The 18,329-nt window shown below is 46.5% G+C and overlaps 4 annotated features.

The window, feature by feature from the left end:
- Positions 8,432-8,932: an enhancer, noted in NCBI's record as "H3K4me1 hESC enhancer chr3:14251094-14251594 (GRCh37/hg19 assembly coordinates)". NCBI's record gives its function as "activates a minimal SCP1, AML or CMV promoter by ChIP-STARR-seq in primed H9 embryonic stem cells {active_cell/tissue: H9 hESC(primed)}" and the evidence as "EXISTENCE:reporter gene assay evidence [ECO:0000049][PMID:30033119]".
- Positions 8,933-9,433: an enhancer, noted in NCBI's record as "H3K4me1 hESC enhancer chr3:14251595-14252095 (GRCh37/hg19 assembly coordinates)". NCBI's record gives its function as "activates a minimal SCP1, AML or CMV promoter by ChIP-STARR-seq in primed H9 embryonic stem cells {active_cell/tissue: H9 hESC(primed)}" and the evidence as "EXISTENCE:reporter gene assay evidence [ECO:0000049][PMID:30033119]".
- Positions 15,222-15,271: a silencer, noted in NCBI's record as "silent region_14091". NCBI's record gives its function as "represses an Ori minimal core promoter by ATAC-STARR-seq in GM12878 lymphoblastoid cells {active_cell/tissue: GM12878}" and the evidence as "EXISTENCE:reporter gene assay evidence [ECO:0000049][PMID:35858748]".
- Positions 15,302-15,381: a silencer, noted in NCBI's record as "silent region_14092". NCBI's record gives its function as "represses an Ori minimal core promoter by ATAC-STARR-seq in GM12878 lymphoblastoid cells {active_cell/tissue: GM12878}" and the evidence as "EXISTENCE:reporter gene assay evidence [ECO:0000049][PMID:35858748]".

An 18,329-nucleotide genomic window follows, 5' to 3' on the forward strand; every position in this document is an offset into this window, starting at 1 on the left:
ACATGGATTTCATTCGTGGGCAAGCTCTTCCCTGTAGCAGATGCAGACTTCCAGCCTACCTGCCCTCCAGCTAAAGTGGTCTCATCCTCCTTGCTTGGTCCCTGTGCCCATCTGTGGGCTGGTTTTTACGGCCATGAGAATGTGGGGCTCTGATTGGCCAGGCCTCAGTCACACGCCCATTTCTGGAACTAAGAGCAAGGTTATCCCCACCTGAGCTGTATGGTCTAAGTGCAGAAGGAGGGGTCGTTCTCTGAAGGAAACCAGAGGAAAGGGGAAATGGAGCTGGACACAATGCCTATTACACAGGAAAACTTTTAGTCTGCCCCAACTTATAGAAAAATCCCTTTGGTACTTTCCTATTAGTAACAAATTTCTTGGAACACACCTCAGACTGACACTATGACTTTAAGCTATTGCTCTGGAATCCAGGAGGTTCTGGAGCAACCTGTGTGGGGATCAGTATGGGTGGAGCTCAGATTTGTTGGCTGACTGGGCCTGATGGTAGCCCGAGTCCTCTTGAGGGGTCTAGGTAGGAGATCTGCAACACAAGAGGGCTGTTAAGCTGGGGGTAGGTATCAGGGGGTCCTCAGAGCTTCTGGGGAGGGCAGGGTAGTTGAACAGAGTGGACTGAAGAACACTAAGCCCCATGAGACAAATTGCTGCTTACAGGCAGAGACCATATTCACAACCCCTGGCAGAGGGCCTGGCCAAGAATTTGTCTTCAATAAATGTTAAATGAATATTTAAATGACAAGAAGACTAGTGCAACAGGACTTTGTGATCAGCACTGTGGATGGAAGGTTCAAATGGGAGTTTGAAAGAAGGTGAACTTTGCACATTGTTTTCCAGACACTTGTGGTTTCCTTCCCACAATTGGACAGTGTTCCCCGGTTTTTTACCCTCGTGGCCATCCTCCCCATTACCATTTACCTGAAAGTGTCAGTATTTGCCAACTCTAGATACCTAACTAGTTATTAATTTACATAGAAAACTAATACCAAGAAATGAGGAAGATAAGGCCAAATGCTTTAAATTCCTTTTAGATTCATTGCCCAATTTTAATAAACCAGAGCATGTAGGTTCTTATTTTCTTGGCTGCTTCTAGAAATGTCCTGGATGTGGAGGCAGCATGCCCCATTGCAGTTTCTGATATTGATTACTCCAGAGGAATGTTTTCTTGGTGCTCATCCCATCCACTTGCAATGCTGCAGGGATCTGGGCTCTGAGTGTTGACACGAGCCCCAGAGTGACCCTTAGTGAGGTGGAAAACTGAACATACAGGGTCTAGCAGTGCAGCGGGGTCAGAGAAACCTGGCTGCGAGTCCCTGCTGTGTCACGTACCGGCTAGACAAACAGCTTCTGTCCTAAGGTCAGTTGTAAGGGCTGGGAAGTGGCCCTAGAAGCAGGCTAGGGTGGTGCTGGGATGTTACTGCCAAATCACTGACACCAGGGTCAGAGGCACAGAGGTGGAAGGGGCACTGGGAGGCCACTCCTTCAGCTTATTCCAACTGTCCCTGCTCTTTTCCTCCCCAGATAGTTTTCAGGAGAATGGTGAATTTGAAATAACTTGATTTGTTCCATTGAAAGTTATTTTCAGATGTCCGCTATGTGCCAGGATCTGTCCACAGAGGCCTGAGCAAGACCAACTATGTGCACGATGCTAAGAGCTGGGAAGGACCTGAAATGGGTGAGGAGATGGGAGGTGACATGGTGTTGTGGGGGGTGAGGGGGAACAGTGCTCAGACGAGGTCTGTCTCAGCAGAGAACATTTGAGCGGACATCTGAATAGCAGGAGGGAACAGGCCCCAAGGGGATTTGGCAAAACAGCATTCTTCCAGAAACTGGAGGCCGCGCAGAGGCTCTGAGATGAGGCTTTTCCTGGTGGAGGGTCGGCAGGGAGGCCAGTCGGCATGGGAAGAGTGAGCCAAAAGTCTGAGACCTCGGAAGTCCAGGCGTCATTCAGCACCTTCGTTTCACAGAAGGGGATGAAGAGCCCAAGACAGTGAAATAGACTTGCCTGAGGCCACCGCGAGTCCAGGCTAATCTAGTTCTAAAGCCTAAATAAGGGCCACTGTGTGCCCCAGCTCCAGTGGTGCCGCTCATGCTGTAGCCTCTGGACCCGTGCAATGTGCTGCTCCTGCAGCTACACGGTCTCCTCCTTCCGATCACAGGCCAGCATTTCACCGTCCTTTCCCTTTTCGAAGGAAAGGGTCTTCTGAGTTCGCGGGTGCTATGGGGACCCTGCTCAAGCTGGTATTCAGGAAGGGGAAGACTGTGCTTTCCTTCCCTTGGCCAGGCCTCGTGGGAGGAGCACAGAGTTGGAAATCACACCCGTCAGACTCAGCTCGATCACCGTGTGCTCTGTGACTTTTGGCGAGCTCCTCGCCCATTCTGGGCTTCCATTCCTCACACGAAGGGAAATGCAGGGAGTTGTTTTTACTCCTGAACCTGCATGTCTTAGTTGCCAACACCAGGTGGTGCTGTGCTCTTTTGCTTTTCCACTTCAGTCCTTGCTTTGCAATCAACATGAGCTAATACTGGCCAGCGAGCTCTGAAATCCAGTTTGTGGAACTCCAACCCTACAATAGCTACATAATATGTAGGCCCCAGGGAGAAAGTTGTAAGGGAAAATACCATTCCCGTGGTGCCCATATCCTGCTGAACCGAGATCACCAACAAAGCCGCACTCTAGGTGAGATGGGTTTTGCTGCGCTGGCTCTGTGCACGTGGCTGAATAATGGGTGGACAGAGCTTTCTTTGCGGCCTGAGGCCAGATTCTGCCATCCTGTTGAGCAGATCCCTTTTCCTGCTCTTAGCCTTGGAGTCCTCATCTATACAGTGTCCTTTGAGCTTGAACAATGTGAGTTTCAGGAAAAGGACTCAATCACTCTGCTATTGATTAAAAGAGCCTAGGTTTGGAGTTCTTGGTAGCAGTATCTGAAAGCCGACATTGGTGTGTGCTAGGAAAAGCCTACAGATTTGGAGTGAAAAAGCCATGCATGTGAACCCTAGCACTGCTGCTTCCCAGCTGAATAACAGACTCCAACTCTCTGACCCTTAGTTTCCTCCTCTGTAAATGGGGATAGTGACAGTGCCCACCTCAGGAAGAAGGGCTGAGGATGAAAAGATGTCCATCAAGGATGGAGCTCAGGTCCTGCCATGGAGTCGGAGCTCAGGACATCTTTGATTCCCTTAATTGGGCCAGCAGCTCTAAATAAGATGCTTCTTGTCTCCTCCTGAATGCCTTTCTGAAAAGACCACCTGTAAATATTTATCTGTCTTTATAACAAGGATCCAAGCTGTTCTTCATGAATCCATAGTTTCTGCCTTGCTGAGTCTACTACAACATTTTTTAAAAATTTTTTCATCGATCTCTCCTTGCATTGTTTTTCCTGTATGACTTTTCCAGGCTGAGTTCTGCTAGAAACTGGGATGGCTAACAGCTGGTCATGATAAGGGTTTGGGAATCAGATGAGGGAACAGGGGAGCCTCCCCTTTGCAGCGTCCTCTGCCCTCCCTCTCTGTGGTTCTCAGCAATGTTTTTCTCAGTTCAGCTTCAAGGTAGAAGAGAAATGGATGAAACCAGCTCCATGAACAAGGTCACCCCGCCAATATCACGAGAAAATGACATCACTGTCAGCTTCCGCTCAGGAAAAACCTGGGACTTGAATAACCAAGGGAAAGGGCAGGTCATCCTCATGGCAGGTTGACAGAGCTGGTTACAGACCTCCCTGCCAGATATCAGGGCCTGGGAGTGTGGCTAAAAATGACCCAGGGACCACACCTGCCTCTGGTCAGTTGCCCCCGGCAGCCTTACCACCCTCGTATGCTCAGAACAACGGAATATCACCAATGGGGTGTTTTATTTCCTCTTTCCTAGAAGAAAGGTTACCAACTGCCAGAATCAAAATAGAACATGAACCGTGTCACTGGAATCCTGTCCAATCCAAGCACACTGATATTGTGCAATGCCCTTTGGGAGATAAAGCAGATAAGCAAAATCTCCAAGCTATTATCACACCATTGGACCTGGCATTGCAGAAGGCCTCTAGCCGGCCTCTTCTAGGCTTGTCATGTTTCTGCAACACTGTGTCGAGTGCTTTTTGTGCTCTAGAAGAACACTATTTCATAGATGAAACCAGGCGCAAAGCCTCACAGAAAGAATTATTTTGTTAAAGTGAATAGTTGTCCCCAACTTTTTCCATTTCCCAAGCTCATAGTTTTATACATTCTTTCTTTTTTTAAGGCTTGGCTTAAATTCTTTATTATTATTATTATTATTATTATTATTATTATTATTATTTTGAGATGAAGTCTCCCTCATATCCCCAGGCTGGAGTGCAATGGCGCAATCTCGGCTCACTGCTGCAACCTCCGCCTCCTGGGTTCAAGCCGTTCTCCTGTCTCAGCCTCCCAAGTAGCTGAGATTACAGGCACCTGCCATCACACCCGGCTAATTTTTGTTTTTTGGGGGTTTTTTTGGGGTTTTTTTTTGTTTGTTTTTTTGAGACAGAGTCTCACTCTCTCGCCCAGGCTGGAGTGCAGTGGCCTAATCTTGGCTCACTGCAACCTCCGCCTGCCAGGTTCAAACAATTCTCCTGCCTCAGCCTCCCAAGTAGCTGGGACTACAGGTGAGTGCCACCAGGCCCAGCTAATTTTTTTTTTTTTTGTATTTTTAGTAGAGATGGGGTTTCACCATGCTGGCCAGGCTGGTCTCAAACTCCTGACCTCGTGATCCGCCCGCCTCAGCCTCCCAAAGTGCTGGGATTACAGGCGTGAGCCACCGCGCCTGGCAATTTTTGTATTTTTAGTAGAGATGGGGTTTCTCCATGTTGGCCAGGCTGGTCTCGAACTCCTGACCTCAGGTGATCCGCCCACCTCAGCCTCCCAAAGTGCTGGGATTACAGGCGTGAGCCACCGCGCCTGGCAATTTTTGTATTTTTAGTAGAGATGGGGTTTCTCCATGTTGGCCAGGCTGGTCTCGAACTCCTGACCTCAGGTGATCCGCCCACCTCAGCCTCCCAAAGTGCTGGGATTACAGGCGTGAGCCACCGCGCCCTGCCAAATTCTTTATTATTCTTAATGGCACAACATAGTTTTCCATATGGTAATGAAATACCCACGCTGACTTTCCTGAGGAACAAGGAAAAATGAACAAATTGGAGAATTCAGTGCTTGGCAGGCTTGTCTTCATATACATGATGAATATCAGCCTTTCCTGAAGCTTTAAAATTCTCTTGGTCTAAGTTACTTTTCCTTGAAGGATCATTCCTGCCCCTTGACATCTTTGAGAATTGTTCAACATGTAAATGATGTGCATCAATTGATCAACTTACATTTTAGCTTCTTTATACTATCAGCGTATTTTTTTTCTGTCACTTTCGTGTTAGTGAAGTATAGTAGATATTTGTAAAAGTATTGTGACTATATATTTTTTAATTTTTATTTTTGATTATAGTAAAAAATGCATAACAGAATTTACCATCTTAACCATTTCATAAATGTGCAGTTCAGTACTGTTAAGTATATTCACAGTTGTGCAACATATGTGAAGTTTTCTTAAAGCAAAGCACTCCTGAATGTCCCTCATCCACAAGTCCTTCTCCCATGATGTAATACTTTATTATTGTGCCTAAACTTACCCTTCAGGGGTTTCAAAGCCTTGGACAGTAACTCTGAACAAAATCCATGGGCAAGATTTAAAGTATGGGGAGCACTTAGAGAAGGCTGTGAAGCTATTTCATCCTTTACTCATCACAAGCCAAACTGCTTTGGGTAGAAAGCGCTTGACTGACAGGAGGAGAGCTGGCCTTGAAACTGCTGGATGAAGGCCCTGGTGAAGGCCTTCAGATCGCATCACCCTATGTAAAGCCCTCTGGTGGCTGCCTGTCTCACCAGAGTAACAACCGCAATCCTGACCCATCTCACCGCCTCCTGATTCAATCCGCCCTGGTTTCTCTGGCCTCAACTCCTGTCCAGCCACACTGGCCTCCTTGCCATTCCTTGAAAATATCGAGCTCATTTCTTCTTAAAGGCCTTTGCATTTGCTCCTACCTCTTCCTAGAACAATCTTTTCAAATCATGTTGGGCAACAGAACCACTCATGGAGGTCATCAAACTCTCAATGCCCAGGCCACATCTTACACCAGTTTAATTATCTCTGGGGCCTTAAAGATCCATTTTTAAAACAAAAACGGAAATAAAACCTCCTCAAGAATTCCAATGTGTAGTCACTTTTAGGAACCAGTGTCCTAGATCTTGTGGTTCCCAAGGTGCGGTCTCAGATCAGCAAGAACAGCATCACCTGGGAACTTGTTAGAAATGCAGATTCTCAGGTCCTAGCCCAAGGTTATTGAATTGGAAACTTTGGAAGTAGAGCCCAGGAATATGTATCTTACCAAGCCCTCCAGGTGACTCCCATGCACACCAACTTTTGAGAACCACTGTCCTACATCCTTGGTGCTCAAGATGAGCCTTGTGGACCGGTATCATCTGCACGCCCTGGAAGCTTGTGAGACAGGCAGAGTCTCCAATGCACCCCTGTGGGCAGATCTGACCCAATGAATGAGGATCTGCACTTCACCAATATTCCTAGTCATGCATATGCACATCAGAGTTCAAGAAGCTTTCTAGCTCTGTCCCCAGAGAGGTCCTGGAAGTGGTAACACACCTGGTGGCAGGAGCCCACCCAGCCCCCAGATCTTGGATTCTAAATATCTTTTAACACCAAAAGAACCAGGCTTATTGGAGAAAGGGCTGATTCCAGGGCTGGGGCAGGGAACATACCAGATGAGCCCAAAACATCTTATTGTGCCGGAAGGCAAGGAAATACCTGAAGAATGGTGGGGCTGTGTAAAAAGACACAGAACTCAGTCTGAAGGGCTCTCATTGATCAAATCTGAGATGGTCTGATAGCAGTAGATTATAACCTAGTGAATAAAATAAAAAGCCATGAGTTCATAGTTATATAAATAAATATATGATTATATAAATAAATGGGTAGGGCCAGGCATGGCGGCTCACGCCTGAAATCCCAGTACTTTGGGAGACTGAAGCTGGAGGATCACTTGAGCCCAGGAGTTTGAGACCAGCCTGGGCAACATAGTGTGATAGTGTCTCTACAAAAAAATCAAAAAATTAGCTGGGCTTGGTCGTGTGCTTGTAGTCCCAGCTACTCAGGAGGCTGAGGTGGGAGGATCCCTTGAGTCCAGGAGGTCAAGGCTGCAGGGTACTGTGATTGCACCACTGCCCTCCAACTTGGATGACAGAGCAAGATACTGTGTCAAAAAAATAAAAATAAAAATAAATAAAGTAAATGGGGCGAAGGAAAATCTCTTCCTTACAGTACAGTGGCAACTAATAAGTTGTAGAAGATGAAGTATGCTAAAACTAGTGAGGATCAGAGCACTTACATTCTAAAAGTGCCTCCCCACAAATTACTCATTCATTAAAAAGGGGGGAAAGGCAATTTTTTAGTGGAGAAACCCGGAGGAGACCACCTAAACCAATCAACCAACGTTAATGTCCCCAACGTAGGGACAAACAGCGCCACGTGCCTCCTGCTGTGATGCACTGAGGGGGACACAACATCACTTCTGTGGTGTTCCTGCCACAACGGTGTCACCTGAAAGTAATCCTCAGGAAATATCAGCAAACCCAAATGACAGGACGTCCCACAGAATAACTGGCCTGCACTCTTTAAAAAAATGTCAGGGTCAAGAAAGACAAAGCATGGCTAAGGAACTGTTCCAGACTAAAGAAAACTAACGAAACATGAGGACTCAGTGTAATATGTGACCCTTGGCCTGGAAAAATATGTGCAATTTAAAAAGGTTATTGTTGGAGCAACTGATACCATTTAACTATGCATTGTAGATTAGATATGGACTGTGGTTATATAAGCGAATGTTCTTATTCTTAGGAAGTACACACTGAAGTATAGGGTGAAAGGGCAGTATGTTCGCACTGTGCACTCTCAAATAGTTCTGCAAAAAGTGTGTGTGTGTGTGATGTGTATATTGTATACTTAGAGAGAGAGGACAGAGAATGAGGCAAAACGTAAACAATTAGTGGATTGAGAAGACGAGATTTCCTTGTACTATGCTTGGAATTTTTCTCTACGTCTGAAATTATGTCAAAATAAAAGTCATGTCCCCTCTTCCTGCAAAAGAGACCAATGAGAGCAAACACCCAAAAGGCAGTGTTCTAGAACACTCTTGCTCCTGAGTTTGGTATGACTCTCTCCCTCTGGTCATTCAGGTCCACTTTTACATCCTATGCCTCCTCTACAGGGAGGCCACACCTAGTCCCCCAACCAGTGTACCCCCCCATTCCCAGCCCTCCTCCATTACACTCCCCTGTGTTCTTGCTCACCATAGCACTTTGTTAGTATGTGACACTATTCTTGTTTATATATTTGTCTACTCATTTACTGTCTCCTCCCACTAGAAGGTAAGCTTCATAAGCATGGAGACTCTTTCTGTCTTGATAGTCCCCTCTATGTGAAATGAATGAATGCACAAATGAACAGATCTACAGATCTGAGGCTCCGTTTGCTCATCTGCAGAACAAGGGGCTTCATCTGGATTTGGTGCAACATCTGGATTCTTTCCCCGTGCTGACACTGAAGGAAGGCATCTGGCAATGGAAGAGCTACTGTGTCATGCACATCTAAAACACTCTAGGCTTTTATTTACAGTTTCTCATTTAATCCTCACCATGATCCAGCAACAGCGGTAGGAGTACTCTTATTCTGTTCCTTCATGTAGCAGAAACGTGCCGAATGCCTGTTACCTGCTAGGCGCTTAAGAAGACAGTGCTGAGCACCAGAGGCACAGCCCCACCACCACGGAGCCTGCTGGTGAGCAGGACTGGCTGAGAAAACCGAGACTCCGAAAGCTTGCCCAACTTGCTGAAGTTATGCAGCAAGGACATGGCAGAGCTGGGAAGCCCATGCTGTCTCCACTGCTGGTAACAAGGGGCGTAAAGGAGAGAAGCTGCTGAGTTGGCCACTCCTCAGGTGGCTCCCTCGGAGCTGTCACGCCCACCTGTGTCCATGGCCTCAACACCGCAGCAAAACAGAACACGCTGTATCTCAGCCATTTCCAGTTGTGTTTTTTATGATTCCATGGCCTCTCAGTCATTTATTATTTATCTGTATTTTAAATTATTAATTTTTTTATCATTTACTATTTATTTCATTTATCTGTTTTTTATTATTTCATGGCCTCTTGGAGGAGACAACGGGCTCTGTGGGGTGAGAAAATGTGAGATTGGAATGACGCACAGGAAGGATTTATGTCTGCTACAACACACGAGCCTGGAGAAGGGGGAAGGAGGGTATTGTATGTTTGAGGACACATCATGTGTATTTGAGAATATAACTTTCAACAAGAAGGGTTGCATGGACCATAAGCTTATACTTCCCATAAGCAAGAAGGCTGTCTGTTTCACTGGGCAAATATTGTGTTCAGTTCAACCTTAGAAGTAATCTAAGTTGGAGATGAGATCAAATAACCTTGACAGAAGAAGCAAATCAAAGTAACCAAATAAAAACCCACTTCAAAAATGTTTAATGAAGACACTGAGCATGAAGAATTAAAACAATGTAAAGGAGTGGGGGTGGGGAGCTACAACTTCTTAAAAGATGTTTCTTTTTTTTTTTTTTTTTTCACCTCACTGATCCTTTCCCTACTTGAAAGCTTTCTCTGCCAGTGAATCACTCAACTAATTGCCAGGTCCTGTTTCCCTGTTTATAATCTTGAGCCTGAAGAAGCCTTCTGTAAAGGCCACAGTAAATTTCCCTGGCTAGCAAGACAAACATTTATCCTAGGGGCTGGATTACTATGCTGGGAGGTCTTAGATTCCTGGGATTTAGTGCATGCTCGCGCCTCACATTTTTTGGGTGACCTTCACCTCTCTGTGCCTCAGTTTCTGAAGCTGCACAATGAAAACAATGTTCCCCACTGAGTCACATCCTAGGATGGCTCTGAGCTCCCCGTTGGAAGGTGGAAAAGGGTATTTGGCAGAGGGTATGATTTATCTGTTCCTCTAAATGCTTCTCCTCCTTCTGGAAGCTGGCTCATTATGTTGGGAATTGAAATGCATTCTCTGTGGGCATATGAAGTAGATTCCTTACGGGAATGTTTAATGGGTGGGTGAATAAAAGAGACACATTAACAAAGTTGTGTTATTCTAGAGAAAAAAATGTCATATCTTCATTTTTTTGTGACCACAAAGTGCAGAGTTGAGGAGGGGGTGGACAAGAAAACAGTATTGTTCTTTGGAGCTATTATTCCCAGATGGCTTGCCCATGATAGAAGCTTTTCTGTTGCTGTTGAATGTCATTTTTCCAAGAAAGCCAGTCAGCTAACTGGCAACTGTGTGGGTGATGACATGCCCCACCTTTCTCTTTAGTGAGTTCCCCTTCCTTGAAAGTAAGAATAGAGTGAATGAACCCTCGTCAAAAGGTGGGGTAGAGAAAGTTCAATCAGAAGAGGGGTTCAACTAAGTACCACTCATTTTCCTCCAACCTTAAGATTCAGAGATTCTAGTCCCTTTTGGTGCCACATCCTCTTCTGAATAGACAATCCAAGCTGTGCAGCAGTGCGCAGGGACAAAGGGCTCTGTGGGGTGAGAAAATGTGAGACTGGAATGACACACAGAAGGGATTTATGTCTGCTACAGCACACGAGCCAGGAGAACAGGGAGGGAGGCTATTATATGTTTGAGGACACATCATATGTATTTGAGAATATAACTTTCAACAGGAAGGGTTGCATGGACCATGGACTCTGTAGCCTGAAAGGAATCCTGGGAGCCCCCGGAATCCCTCTGGATGTAGCTTTCAGCCACAGGAAGCTCTGTTACTGAGGAGAGACTGGAGGAACCCCAGCACCAAAAACCCAGAGAGGGTGAGCACAGCAGTAGAAATTGCGATGGTATCAGCTTAGCCAGGCCCTCATTTTAGAGTAAATTACAACCACAATAATCACAGCTCCCCAGCCTTAATCCTCTGCTATGTGCAGGTGTGATGCATAGCTTGCTTCATTTACCTCGACAATTCTTCAAGGGAGATACTACAGGCCTATTTTGCAGATGAAGAAACTGAGGCTTCAGTTTCACTAGAGAGAGTAAGTGAGTTGCCTTGCAAATGGCAGAGCCAGTATTCACACTCAAGCCTATCCGACTCAAGACCCATGTTCCTTCCAGTGTGTCAATAGTCTTGATTTAAAAGTGGGGATTATAAACCCCACTCTTTTGCAGACAGAAAAACTGAGCTCATCCAGTGGAGATAACACTGAGCAAACTGAGGTTTGACTGGTTCCAAATTTCTGCCAGGCGTTTTGTGTGAGGAGCAGTTGGACCTTGCAGAATGATGAAGCTGGGGGACTGACCAAAGGGTGGTCTGATCAAACCCCTTTTGTCTACAGAGGGAGAACTGGACTCAGAGGGCATAGGTAAGCAGCTCACGGCAGGAGGCAAGAGAGTGGCAGGCCAAGCACAGAGCCCCTATCTTCAGCCTCCCAGGGATATGACTGAGCTGCTCTTGGGTATAGTGGGAACTGATCTGTCCCACCTGCCTCCTGATGGCCTCTGTGTGCCTGGCAGGGATGCCTGCCCCAGGCTGGGATGGAGGCATGTCTGCAACCTTGGAGGGGACCCAGGAGGCCAGGGCAGGTGGGGTTGACCTTGTGACTCGGAAGCTGGCTCTGTGTGAAAACACAGACAACTGGATGGGCCTGGGGCCTAGGGGTCAGCAGCCCAGCACCTGTCTATGCTGGTGAACCCGGGAGAGAGTGGAGGGTCAGGTGAGGTGCAGAGAGCAAAAGCGAGGCTTTATTCATGGAGGTATACTGTTGTTCTCAGATGCCCCTGCTCATCCTATACCTCCCTTAAAGGCTCAGCCTTCGGAGAGAAGCCCTCTGAAACCATCTAAACTCCCTTTTCCTCCTCTGGCTACAAGAGTCGGAATTCCCACTACCATTTCTAGAAGGCTGGTTATGTGCCAGGCCCTGGGCCAGACATGCTACAAATAAGATCTGACATTTAGCTTTCCCAACAATCCTGTGACCATGCTGTAACGAGCTAAGGCTCAGAGAGATCAAGTGACTTGTCTAAGCTCACACAGCTGATGAGCAACAGAGCCAGGGTGGCAGCTCTATTAGGATAGAGACTTTTAAAAAAAAAAATTTTAGACAAGGTCTAGCTCTGTGGCCCAGGCTAAAGTGCAGTGGCACGACCACAGCTCAGTGTAGCCTCAAACTCCTGGGCTTAAGCAAGCTTCACGCCTCAGCCTCAACCTCCCAAGTAGCTAGGACTACAGGTATGAACCAACACACCTGGTTAATTTTTAAAATTTTTTGTAGAGATGGGAGCTCACTATGTTGCCCAGGCTGGCCTTGAACTCCTGGACTCAAGTGATCCTCCCACCTCAGCCTCCCAAAGTGCTGAGATTATTGGCGTAAGCCACTGCACCCAGCTGGGATTTCTGACTCCTGTTTGCTGCTGTATTCTCAGTGGTTGGCACGTAGTGGCCACTGAGATACACATTTGTTGAATAAATGTCTGACTCCAAAGCCACACTCTTTGCCCTATACCCCTCTCCTTCCTGGGAACTCTCATGGGAAAATTCAATTTTGAGTGAAAATTGACTTGGAGGACTTCAGTCAAGAGTGAATCCATTAATTTCTCTTCTATGGGTACTTTCTGTACTCACCAAAATAAAGCAATAAAGAAAACTCCCCAAGTAGAGTGTCAATGACATTATGCACATTTTTATAATTAGTAATCAGGGCTGCTGTGGAACTGATTTCTTCCTCAGGAGGATTCACAAAGATGCTTGTTAGCTCATTTTGCTTTTTGTCTTTCCTGCAGACAACACGGACAGCAACAGACCTTGGTTTTTCTGTGTCTGGTCCTTCTCCGAAAGTTCAAAGCCTTTTTCATTTTGCAACACAGAGTCTCTAAGGCACCTTCCTTAAGCCATGAGTTTCTGACTTTATATTCAACCTAGGCTTTGGGGGTGTGGAAAGGGTCATCTGTATATCCTCAGATTTCCAAAAAAGGAATTGCGAGGATGGCTTACTGCATAGCTCCCTGTTGTCCAGCAAGGCCCAAGGCCTGTTTGTTGGGTCATTACCATCCATGCCACACAGCGACTACAATTCTACAATTACAAGTGAACTTCATCTAACTTTACTGACCATGATTTTTGTGGTTGTTCATCATTCAGGACATATAGTTCAGCATCTCACAGAGCCCTAAGTCAAAATAATGCACTTTGAGTTTTAACTTCTCAGAGCTGAAAGGGATCCTACAGATGACCGCATCTAACTTTTCCCAAAGTCTTTTTCACACCACACAGCCACAGGATACTGTACCCGGGAAGGTTTCCTGTGTTGCGGAAGTGTGGGAAGTGCTACGTGGTCTACCTCCCTGTTAGGACCCACAACGCATAAGGGCAGACTGAGGTTTCCAAGAAGTCCTGTAGGAAATATACTTTTGTTTAACTTTGTTCTACACCGTATTCCCAAAATTACTGGCCCAGGAGGGGGAAGCCTTCTGTGTTTTCTTTCTTTTTCAATTTATGGAAAATTCTTTGGGAAATAAAACTCTTATCAGACCCCACCTCTCCACCTCCCAATTTTACAGATGTAGAAAGTGATGATCAGCGGAGGAAAGAGAAAAAGCGGCCAGAAGTTGTCCATAGGCCAGGCCTGGGATATATGTCTTAACTCCAGGTTCACGATTCCTCTCAGCCACACCTCCCAGGTAGGACTGTCAAATGGTTGTTAACAGAGATAGCAGGATAGTAAAGTGCAGATTGACCCAGGTTTTATTGCACCAGGTTTTGCTGATTCTGAAGCCAAGTGTGCTGAAAAAGATAACTGTGGAGCAAGTTCACTTCAAGTCATCCCAGGTGACTGTTTTCACGCCTGCATTTGAGAGCACAGGGGCTGAACATGACCACCCTCCCTCTTCTCCAGCTGTAGATGACTCCTTATAAAGAAGATTTGGGGTAGATGGAAGATGGGAAGGCGGGAAGGGCGGGTGGTCAGCGACAAAAAGGCCATCACACGTCAGCCCGCTGGAGTGGTTGCTTGACTACAGCGATGGTGGCCCCTCACTGAATGGGACAGGATACTGCAATGGTGAAACTCTGGGTTTAAATCCTGGCCCCACAGAACAACTTCATGACCTTAGACAAAAAACGTAATCTCTCAGGGCCCCAGCTTCCCACTGTGAAAATGGGATAATAATGGCACCTACATTTTCCTGGCACTGCTCTCTCAGAGGAGCTTATGCCATGATTTCTTCATAGGGAACATGGGGTAATAAATACAAAGTTCCTGACATAGAAGGAGGTTTTCTAAAAGACACTGAGAGGCTCACCTGGTGGCTTCCTGTCATAAACCTGAAGTGGCGGTGGGGGTGGCTGGAGCAGGTAGCCCAGGAGGTCCTTTAGGCTGGCATGCAGCAGGAAGAGCAGAGAAGGGGGTAATAATTTGGGTAAAGATAAGGGGGAGATGCTCAGTCCACAATGATGAAGGGCATTTTTTTATTTTCTTGAGACAGGGTCTGGCTCTGTCACCCAGGCTGGAATGCAACAACATAATGATGGCGCACTGCAACCTTGACCTCCTGAGCTTGAGCAATCCTCCAGTTTCAGCATCCCAAGCAGCTGGGCCTACAGATGTGTGCCACCACACCTGGCTAATTGTGTGTGTGTGTGTGTGTGTGTGTGTGTGTGTGTGTACTTTTTGTAGAGACAGGCCTCACTATGTTGCCCAAGCTGGTCTCAAACCCCTGGCCTCAAAAACAATCATCCCTCCTCAGCATCCCAAAGTGCTGGGATAACAGGTGTGAGCCACTGCACTGGGCCAAGGGCATAATTTTTAATGAAAATTAAGGCAAAGAACAGTTATGGGAGACAAATAGATGACAGTATCAAGGACTTTTTCATTAGCAATTAACAACAACAAAATAAAACCTCAAACTGACTTAAGAAAAAAAAAAAGAGCAGCGGGAGCTGACTGTAGACATGGCTGCATTCAGGAGCGCAGGCTATGCCACCAAGAATCGGTCTTGCTCCGTCCCTTGGCTTTGCTCACCCTGCTATTGACTCCGTTCTCAGTCAGATGCTCCCCTCGTTCCCCTCGTGGTGACAGGATGGCGCAGCAGCCCCTAGTGGACATTCTGCAGCTCAGTCACCCACCTCATTCCCGAAACGCCAACCAAAGCCCCAGGATTCATTATGGTTGGCCCAGCCCAGGTCATGTGCCCCTTCCAATTACTGGCACTGATTGGCCGGTTCTGGTGATGAAGCAGACAGGGGGCTGGGACCCTGGTCTCCTGCCTTCTTTGAGTTTCCTGACTTGTCCGTTCGTCTTCAACTGGCCCACTGTTCCCCGGGCTCTTAAAACCACACCTCATTTAGGCCTCTGGCAAGAAATGGCTACATCCTCTACAGCGGTCTTTTGCATTGACTTGGACTCTTCTGTTGGCTTAAAGGCAGATTCAGGACATGCCAGTTCAGATAGAGGGAGACAGACTCGTGTGTGATCCTGGGATGGCAGAGGATTTTTCATCTGATGTGCCAGTTATGGTTAATAGTGGCTGCCCGAGGGCTGTTTTGCAGAGGATGGTAAAGCTAAGTCCAGACTCGGAGGGAAAAGAAGCTGTGATTGATTAATAATGTCTGCCAGGAGCCCCGGAGCAGTCAGTGGTGGCCGACTTGCCGTGTATCGGCCAAACTTCATTGCAGAAAGAGCACGGATCACGGAAAGCAGCAGCCCTGTTCACAGACACCTCCACCTCTCAGCCCTGCGATCACACGCTAGTTACTTAGCTTTACAGGAAACAATTCTCCCATTTGCACAATGAGGACGTGTATCCCAAAGAGTTGCTGAAAGAATCAATAGAGACAATGTATGTAAACTGATCACGATCCTGCACGGAAAACAGAGGCTTTGGCTTTTAACAGAGGTGGAAAGTCATGTTGTTTTTCCAGGGGCCCCACCCCAAAAGTGCTTGTATGGCCTAGGACATCTCAGGAAATTTTTTTTTTCTTTTTTTTCACTTTCTTTCTTTCTTCCTTCCTTCCTTTCTTTCTTTCTTTTTCTTTTCTTTTCTTTTCTTTTTTTTTTTTTTTTTTTTGAGATGGACTCTCGCTCTGTTGCCCAGGCTGGAGTGCAGTGGCTCGATCTCGGCTCACTGCAAGCTCTGCCTCCCCGGTTCACACCATTCTCCTGCCTCAGCCTCGCGAGTAGCTGGGACTACAGGGGCCTGCCGCCACCCCCGGCTAATTTTTTGAATTTTTTTTTAGTAGAGACGGGGTTTCACCGTGTTAGCCGGGATGAGTCTCGATCTCCTGACCTCGCGATCCCCCCGCCTCGGCCTCCCAAAGTGCTGGGATTACGAGCGTGAGCCACAGTGTGCGGCCGGGAAAATTTTCTTGAGTTCGAACTTCTTTTTTTGAAATATGCGCTGTTGACACCTGGCCTTATCCCTTCAGGCCTTCACAGTTCAGGCCGTTTGGCCCCGCTTCTCCTCGTTGACTTTCCCACCAACAGTGCATTGACCAGCACCACCGTCTGAGAACTCACAAAGGATCTGATTTACCTTCCTAGGATTCCGTATCACCTCTTCTTACACCAAGGGACCCAGTGCATGGCAAAAGCTGTATGAAAGTGGGCACATGGCCACAGAACAGACAGGTTTTTCCAAGGAAGGCATCAGCAGAAGCTGCTTGCTGGCTCTTTGCTAGAAGCACAGCTAAGGAGCCTGCCTAGGGGAGATACCTGGCACGGTTGGCATGCTATACTGTTTTTCATTGAGGTAAAATTCGTATAACATAAAATTCACCATTTTAGCCATTTTAAAATACACAATTCAGTGACTTTTAGTGCATTCACAGGATAGTGCAACCATCACCACTATCTAATTCCAGAACATTTTCATTCATTCAAAAGACACTTTAGACTCATCCAGCAGTCATTCCCATTTTCCCCTCTCCTCAGCCCCAGAAAACAGCTAATTTGCTTTCTGTCTGTATAGATTCACCTGTTCTGGACACTTCATATAAATGAGATCACACAAGTCATGGCCTTTTGTGTCTGTCTTCCTTCCCTTAGCAAAACGTCTTTATCCAAGTTGAAGTATGAATCAGTACTTCATTCCTTCTTATGTCTGAATAATGTCCTATTGTGTGGATATACAATATTATGTTTATTCATTTGGCTGTTGTGAATAGTGCTGCTATGAAATTCTTGTAGAACTTTTTCTTTGAACACCTGTCTTCAGTTATTTGGGGTATGTACTTAGGAGCAGAATGGCTGGCTCATATAGTAATTCTGTTTAGCTTTTTGAAGAATAGCCAAACTCTTTTTCCCAGCAGCAGCACCATTTCACATTCCTCCCTCCAGTTTCTCAACATCTTTGCTAACATTTGTTATTTTTTGTTTTTAAAATCATAGCCATTCTAGGAGCTGGGCAGTGATATCTCACACACCCTCCCTCCCTCCCTCCCTCCTTCCTTCCTTCCTTTTCCTTCCTTCCTTTTCCTTCCTTCCTTCCTTTCTTCCTTCCTTCCTTCCTTTCCTTCCTCCTTCCCTCCCTCCCTCCCTCCCTCCCTTCTTTCCTTCCTCTCTCCCTCTCTTTCTTTCCTTTTTTTTTTTTGACAAGGTCTCACTCTGTCACCCAGACTGGAGAGCAGTGGCACAATCACAGCTCACTGCAGCCTCAAACTCCTGGGCTCAAGTGGTCCTCCTGCCCTGGCACCTATAGCTGGAACTATAGGTGCACATCACCATGCACAGCTAATTTTTGCATTTTTTTTGTAGAGACAGGGTTTTGCCATGTTACCCAGGTTGATCTTGAGCCCAGGGATTAAGCAATTGGCCCACCTTGGCCTCCCAAAATGTTGGGATTACAGGCATGAGCCATCGTGCCCAGCCTTGTGGTAGTTTTGATTGGTGTTTCTCCAATGATTAATGAAGATAACCATCTTTCGTGTGCTTATTGGCCATTTCTATATCTTCCTGAAATGTCTATTTGAGTACTTAGCTCTTTTTTTTTTTTTTTTTTTTTGAGATGGAGTCTCACACTGTCGCCCAGATTGGAGTGCAATGGCGTGATCTCAGCTCACTGCAATCTCCACTTCCCAGGTTCAAGTGATTCTCCTGCCTCGGCCTCCTGAGTAGCTGGGATTACAGGCACATGCCACCACACCCAGCTAATTTTTTGTATTTTTAGTAGAGACGGGGTTTCACCCTGTTGGCCAGGATGGTCTCGATCTCCTGACCTCGTGATCCGCCCGCCTTGGCCTC

This window comes from Homo sapiens, chromosome 3 (assembly GCF_000001405.40).
Source record: "Homo sapiens chromosome 3, GRCh38.p14 Primary Assembly".
NCBI lineage: Eukaryota > Metazoa > Chordata > Mammalia > Primates > Hominidae > Homo > Homo sapiens.